General features: G+C 35.0%; 1 long non-coding RNA gene across 1 annotated transcript in view; it reads right to left on the bottom strand.

Annotated features, from left to right (window-relative positions):
- Window positions 1–1,429: 1,429 nt before the first annotated feature.
- Window positions 1,430–8,253, bottom strand: part of LINC02241 (long intergenic non-protein coding RNA 2241) — a 325,854-nt gene continuing 319,030 nt past the window's right edge. Inside the window, exons 7-12 of the long non-coding RNA NR_149120.1 lie at window positions 6,143–6,240; window positions 4,084–4,191; window positions 2,411–2,972; window positions 2,139–2,304; window positions 1,866–1,944; window positions 1,430–1,564 (exon numbers count right to left, since the gene is read on the bottom strand). This is a non-coding gene — a long non-coding RNA (long intergenic non-protein coding RNA 2241). The remainder of the gene's footprint in view (window positions 1,565–1,865; window positions 1,945–2,138; window positions 2,305–2,410; window positions 2,973–4,083; window positions 4,192–6,142; window positions 6,241–8,253) is intronic.

Genomic DNA, 8,253 nt, shown 5'->3' with positions numbered 1-8,253 from the left:
AGATTTCATTGCATTATGTTCAGAAAAGTAGTTGGTATGATTGGTACTTATTTTATGACATTTAGGTATAAGAATTTCGGGGAGTTTATGCTTAATTTTTCAATGTGTTGTATGAACACTTGAAAATCATACATTCTCTTTTAATCATGTCACAATTCAAAATACGTATATTTGCTTACAGGCATTAAACATAGTACTTACCTCAGTTTTTCTCCAGTCATTATTTTATTTTAATTGTTCTGATTCTAGATAAAGATCACCTACTGAGTCTTGTTTTTATTCTGTGTTGCTTTCCTTTTTCTTACAGTTCTAATTTGCTTAATGTATTTTACTGTTACTTAGTGTGTCAACATTCATGGGAGTTATATCTGCACTTTAGAATTTATTATAGAACATTAGAAAGTGTAAGTTTTTAATATTCAGATATCAAATTACAAAATAAATAATGTGACTCTATTTTCTTACGTTAGCATTTGCCTGACTTATTTTATCTGTCTCTTTACTTTCATTGGTATATACATAAGGAATATCTGCACATTGAATTTATTTTTCTTCCTACCTATGTGAATGTATCTCATTAAAATTAGTCCTTTAACATATATATTTAGTATTACTATCATCTTATTTTCCTCAAGGTGTTTTCTTGGATTTTCATCTTTGATATTGTTCTTATTCTATCTGAGGGCATATGTTCCGGGCCCTGCTTCTCTTATCTCGCATCTGACTCATTATGGTCTATTCTGTTTCTTTCCCTCAGTCCTTCACATTTTTTTTTTTTTTTGAGACAGTCTCGCTCTGTCACCCAGGCTGGAGTGCAGTGGCACCATCTCGGCTCACTGCAACCTCTGCCTCCTGGGTTCAAGTGATTCTGCTGCCTCAGCCTCCTGAGTCCTTCACTTTTTAGGACAGTTACTGATGCCTGTTTTTCTGCTTTTCTGCTTTTCTGTTTTCCTATGGATTTAGGAAGTTGGACTCAGCTGGCTGTTGGTAATACAAATTGTTGAATTTGCTCTCTGCATTTTTTCAGTTATTGAGTTGAAAGTACTGTGCAAGGATTTATTTCCATTCTAAACAGGGTACTGGATAATCCCTCAATTTAGGATGGACTCTTAAGCCTTTGCCAGTGCTTAAGGCAATTTGATATTTATATGCTCCTGTTGCCAACATGTAACCATGAACTGCTCTTCTATTCTCACTCATCAAAGCAGGGACAACAGATGGGGGTGAAATACCACTTTGATTATAGTGACAGACAAGAACAATTACCTGGAGATTTTTGCATTTTTCTTTTAGTGACATATTCTCACTAAAACTTTCTGTCCTTTTGCTTTCTTTCTTTTTTCTTTTTATCGATATTCCAGATCATTAGTTTCTTAGAAAAGTTAAGCATAGACTATGTTATTATAATAAACATGCTTCCCAGTATCAGTTGATTAGCACAGCAAGTTTTATTTCCTCATCATATCACAGTCTGATTAAGGTTGGCTTCTTTCTCTGAAAACTTGCGAATCAGACCCATTCCATTTTGTAGATGTAGGTTGGGAAAACCTGGGTTCCAAATTTCCTGTTGAAAGGCAAAATAAGGCTGTGAGATGGTGTGTAATGAGTCAAGACTCAGAGGGCCAAACCTGGAAGTCTTTTTTATATTACGTAGGCTTATATTCTGCCAATCAGAATTCATTCCTTTGGTCTACAATCTGTGAGAAAGATTTAGAAGTTCAACTTTTGTTCCCAAGAAAATAGCCAGTGTTTTGAACATCTCATATTATCTTTAATAGAGCCTTTTGGTCACCAGACCATTTTATTCTATGTTCACACATTGAAAACTCTCACCCTTCCCTGACAGAGATAATATAAAGTCACACCTGGTCACTGATTGTCGCTCAGAGTCCAAGTTCTGTAGGTGCCATCAGATCCAGATGTGACCCTCTGTAGTTAGGAGACCTATCAATTTAAAAGGTAGATTATCTGCCTCTCTCTAGCACGAGGACTGAATATGCAATGATGGAGAAGGCATAGAATACACATAATGAATGCCCCCATTCATTATATTGTATAATTCTGGACAGCAATTTAAATCTCAATAGGAAGGAATTTTAATAAAGTTCCCAAGCACATGCTGGGAGTGCAGTAAGCACCTTCGCTGGATGAATTCTGCCCACTAGACAGAACCCTTTGTCCACGGTTCTTTAGGAACTCTGGCTTTTAACTCTGAGAAGTTTTTGTTGCATTACTCTCCTTGGCCATTTATAAACTGAGGGATGAAGACGACCCCATGCTCCTTGAGGGTTCCACAATGAGCCTCTGCTTTCCTGAAAGAAAGATAAGAACCAAGGCTTTTTTTTTTTTTTTTTTTTTTTTTTTTGGTCTTGAATATTTAAAGGCTTGTATAGATAAGCCTTGGACTTACCCAGTTCTCCCTGCTTATTTGATTATAGTTCTCAAGAATAACTGTAGAATGTTATCCTGAGATAGAAAGGGACTGGCTAGAACAGACCAGGCTCTGTTCCAGTGCCCCCCGGAAACAGGATGCACTTCAATGCTTTAGTCCAGCGAATCACGTTCCTCTGGAGTATAAAACCAAGGGCAGGCTGCTTTACCGGATCCTTCAACTGCAGGACCAGTGGGGCACACACAGAGAAGACTCCATCTACTTTAGGCAGCTTTCCGGAGCCTTGGGAAAAAGTTCACCATAGATCATCAGCTTCTGTTGGTCCTTGCTGCTTATCTGTAAGTATCAAACCCACTTCATGAAACTTGTGTGTGAGCGTTCAATCTTACTAGACTCAGACAAGTTGGTCACAGAACTTTCTCCACCAATGGTTTCTTTGGTAATCTTGCAAAAATATAAGCAGCTTCTGATCCATTTGCTTCTGCCTCCTAAAATTTCTTTCCGAACGTAGATGTCAAGTGTATTTTACTTCCCTGATTTCTGGCTCTGTGTCTCTTACTAGCTGTTCCTTTGATGCTATCTGAAAAAAAAAAAAAAAAAAAGATAGGAGGGCCATCATTAACTTGATCTTTCACTGGGGTTCACTTTACTAGACCAAGATTCTTTTACTGGCCTATTTTGTATAAAATCTTATGTCAGACATATTCTCTCTTACTCTTGGAAGGCCTTGAATTTCTTGAGTCTCTCTAATATTTCTTCTCATATATTTAAAAATTCACCAATGGCTACAAATACATACTATCATTTTTCTTAATTCTCTGTTTTGTAAGTATGTCATCTGCCTCCCAATTTACAGTAGGTTGTCTTTATATTTGTCAGTCTCTTATATGTCTTGACTTGCAGTCCCTTTTATAATTGCTGCCTTCCTATATGAGACATGAAAATAATGTTTTGCAATGTAAGTTAGATTTTTAATGATGTAGCACCTCACTCCTATATAAAGTTATTTCATGATCAGAATATTCTAAACTATCCTGTGGCAATAAACTGCTAAATCCCTGTGTCTTTGCTCATTAATGTTTTATTTGTTGATCACTTCACAGCTTTCCACAGCTTTCTCCATTAAATGATGATTCTGTGACTTCTTCCTTCTTGTAACTTTACCATCTAACTCAGTGCTTCCAAGGAAGCTTTGAAGGGGGAAAGGGAACGGAGGTAGCACACAGAATTTTCTAAAGGCCCAACTGGAAGTGACTTGCTTCACTTTTCTTTATATTCCATTGTCCAGAACTTGGTTGCATGGCCTGCAAACTGACTTCAAAGAAGTGTTGGGAATGTGGTTTTCCTGTGTTTCTAAGCACAAAAAGAGTGGAATGAATTTCCTGATATACAAGCTTATCATTAACAGTCAATTAGCATCAGGAGGTTATCATAATTTTTGTTTTCTTTTCTTCTGTATATCAAGCCAAGAAAAAAAAATCCTGCACATTTTAAAAAACTCATATGGTGGTCACTATACATCATGCATGGGAAAGTGAATTTTTTAATATTGAAATAAATTACATGTCTGTGTCCCTAGACCAAATACCCATATCCCTTTACTTAGTATTTTTCCTAAATGTGTTTGAGGTTTTATAATTTCCATACTTTTCACTTTCCATTTATTTTCCATCCACACTCCTGTTCTTTACCTCACAGTGCCTTTGGGTGAGTAGGCAAGATCAGGGCACAGGTTTCTTCTTAAGGAGAATTCATAAAGCTACCACTTTTCAAGTTCCGAATCATTGGATCATTTATCTCTGTTAGAAAAGACATATGAAATACAAATTAAAACAAAAAGTGAAGATGATAATTAAATCGTTTATTTCTGTATATATTCAACAATTTTACATTTGCCCTCTTGTAACAAATTCACATTATAACTGCATTATCCTGCTATCCCTCAGTAATAAAACCTACAAAATTTATGCAATTTTACTTTTACTAGATGCTTTGTTTAACTGTTGTAAAAAATATTCTTATGTGCCACAGGGTCCTAACTGAATGATATTTTTTCTGTAAAAGTTAACATAGCGGGTTGAAAAATATGCTTTCCATAACTAATTAAGCGTGGTCAGTTTAGAAGTGTGGTCACTTTGATTAGCTATCTGAGATAATGACTTCCTCTTCTCATTGTTAGTTTCAAGATATTCCACTACTTGCACAGCTTGTTAGCTAGTTAAAAAAATCTACTATATCTTCAATAATTGCTTCTTTTCTTCTTATCTTTGAGATTCTATATGAAGATACTCATACAATAGAAGACAGCCAGGAAAAGTCTTTGAAAGTCAATAACTGTTTTTCTTAAAACTTTACTCTGCCAGAAAATCTTATCACTGGTCAACAACCTTATCACATAAGAAAACACATTAAACTTTAAAACAAAATTGATTTCAATAGACTTAATGGAAACATCTTTATGCAGACTTTTACTGTCTATTTGGTACCAAGGTGAGAAGAAAAGATTGTCTTCCTCTGTAAATCTCGAATAGGTCTCTTACTTTGATTTTTCTTTATCTAGGACATGAGAAAATTGTATATGTGTTGGGTAAAATTCAAAAACAATATCAAGGTATCTTATTTCCTTACCTTGGCAATGAAGTCTTAGTATGCGAACAATACTCTATGTTACTATCTTAATTGAAGTGATATGAACCACATCTATTACTTTGATTTGATTGTTACAACTGGGATACTAATATAAGATTGCTTATTCATTTTATTACCAATTGTTGACAAAAACATAAATATATGAACAAATTTATATGAATAATATTCAAATAATCCTCTAGATTCCATGTATAACATTCTGCTAAAGCAATTGATGTATTTCAAGTTCTTTTTAGAAAGAGATTAATGAAATATAATGTAAAGTGGGGATTGCTGCTTGAAAGAATGGCAATTTTTAAAAGTACAGGTAAATATACCACTGCAATTTTATTACCTCTGTGTTTTCTAGGTAATTCTTACAAAAGTTCTATCCTAAGCCATTATATTATAATTTCATAGGAAAATCAATTCCCTTGGTTTTGCTGAAATATGGTTTCTCTGTTTGCTGAAATAAAGTTTTTGTTAATTAGAAATATATATTTCATATTTGGACTATATTAGTCAGGGTTTTCCAGAGAAACCAAACCAAAAATCTGTATTGTCACTGTCCATTAGAAAAACAGAACACACACACACACACACAAATAGTTTATCATATATAACATTATATATAATACCTATACATATACATTATTGATGTACAGTTGGCCCTTGAATAACACGAGTTTAACAGCATGGGTCCACCTATATGCAATTTTTTTTCTACCTCTGCCACCCCTAGTACAGCAAGAGAAATCCTTCCTCTTTATCCTCGTCCTCGGCCTACTCAATGTGAAAAATATGAGGATGAAGGCCTTTGTGATGATCCACTTCCACTTAATAAATAGTAAATATGTTTTCTCTTTTTCATACTTTTTAATAACATTTCCTTTTCTCTAGCTCACTTCATTGTAAGAATATGGTATATAATAGATATATAACATGCAAAATATGAGCTGGTTGTTTATGTTATCAGTAAGGCTCCTGGTAATCAGTAGGATATTAGTAGTTAAGTTTTGGGGGAGTCAAAATTATTATGCAGATTTTTTACTGTGCTGGGGGTCACTGCTCCTAACTCCTGAATGGCTCAAAGGTCAACTGTATTATGAAGAATTGACTCACATGATTGATTATGGTGCCTGAGAAGTCCCAAGATCTGCTGTCTGTAAGCTTCAAGACCTAGGAAAGCTGGTGGTATAATTCAGTATAAGCTCAAAGGCCTGAGAAACAAAGGAACAAATGATGTAAATCTTAGGTGAGATAACTCAGTTCAAGCAATTACGCAGGAGAAAAGTGCAAAGTTTTCCTTCCTCTGTCTTTTGTTATATTCAGATCCTTAAAAATAACCACTGACTGGGCATGGTGGCTCATGCCTGTAATCCCAGCACTTTGGGAGGTCGAGGCGGGAGGATCACTTGAGGTCAGGAGGTCAAGACAAGCCTGGCCAACATGGTGAAACCCTGTCTCTATTAAAAATACAAAAATTAGCCAGGCATGGTGGCGAGTGCCTGTAATCATGGCTACTTGGGAGGCTGAGGCAGGAGAATTGCTTGAACCTGGGAGGCGGAAGTTGCAGTGAGCCAAGACTGCGCCATTGCACTCCAGCCTGGGCAACAAAAGCTAAACTCCGTCTCAAAAAAAAAAAAAATACCCACCAACAACAGGGAGGCTACCTTTATTTAGTCCACTGATTCAAATGCTAATCTCACTGGGAAACTCCCTTATGGACACATCCGGAAATAATGTTTACTCTGAAGTTACTTGACTCAATCCAGTTGGCACATAAAATTAAAGATCAAAAAGACAAATATTTTTCTCATCTTTTGAAATACATATTCATGTGACACTAAGTTCATTATACAATTTGGAGGGACCAAAGCTAACTAAAAATTGAGATCTCTTTAAAAAGCCAGAAAAGCAGAAAAAGTACATTAAATATACTAAAATATAGAACCTTTAAATGTATATCCTGGTCTCTCTTTCTTAACCTTATAATGGTAATTTTTTTAGCTATTTAATATAATTGTAAGTAAAGAAAATTTAAATTAGAATTATTACCAAGGATTTTATCATTCATTTGTATCATGCAATATCAGATCCAATGAGCTAACTACAAGAACAGTGGGGATGCTGCAACTATCTCAACTGTTTTTATTTCATTTCTTGACATATGCACATTCTACCAGTATCTTCTACATTTGATTTACTGATGAACAAGGAAAGATTAAAATAAACAAAAACTTTTAATTCCCCATCTGCCTTTTTTTCTATGTCATCCTCTTCAGCATAAGTGGTTGGCTGTATCTGTATTTTGTAGAAGTTTATTATCTTCTTTCTCTGTCTGGAGTAGGTTGTAGTTCCAATGAAAAGCATGGCTTCTCAAAGATTTTATCACCCAACTTACTAAACTATAGACCACAGTTAGCTGGTACAGCCATACCTTGTTTTATTGTGCTTCATTTATTGCACCATGGAGTTATTTAATTTTTTCCAAAGTGAATGTTTATGGCAACCCCACATTGAGTGAGTTTATCATTGCCACTTTTCCAACTGTATGTGCTCACTTGGTTTCCCAGTGCCACAGTTTAGTAATTCTCACATTATTTCAAACTTCTGTATTATTATTATATATTTTGTGGGAATCTATGATTAGTGTCTTTGATGTTACTATTGTTATTGTTTGGGGGCAGTATGAATCATACTCATATAAGGTGGTGAACTTAATTGAAAAAAGAGTGTGTGTATTCTGACTGCTCCACTGACTAGCAATTCCCCTATATCTTCCTCTCTTCAAAACTTCCTATTCGCTGAGACACAAAAAAATTAAAATTATGCCGAATAATAACCCTGCGATGGCCTCTAAGTGTTCAAGTGAAACAAAGAACATCTCTCATTTTTAAATTAAAACATCTCTCATTTTAAAATCAAAAGGTAGAAATAATTAAGCTCAGTGAGGAAGGCATGTAGAAGGCTAAAACAGATTCTCTTGGATTCTCCGAATGCTGAGGGAGGTGATGAATCTGCAAACACAAAGTTGAAGCTAGCAAAGATTGGTAAATAAAATTCAAGGAAAAAAACATTTCATAATATAAAAGTTCAAGGTAAAGTAGCAGATGCTGATGTAGAAGCTACAACAAGTTATCCTGAAAGTCTATCTGGCTAAGATAAGTGATGAAAGTAGTTACACTAGCAACAGATTTTCAATGTAGACAAAACAGCCTTTTATTGGAAGA

This window comes from Homo sapiens, chromosome 5 (assembly GCF_000001405.40).
Source record: "Homo sapiens chromosome 5, GRCh38.p14 Primary Assembly".
Classification (NCBI taxonomy): domain Eukaryota; kingdom Metazoa; phylum Chordata; class Mammalia; order Primates; family Hominidae; genus Homo; species Homo sapiens.
This window is presented reverse-complemented; position numbering and strand designations above follow the sequence as displayed.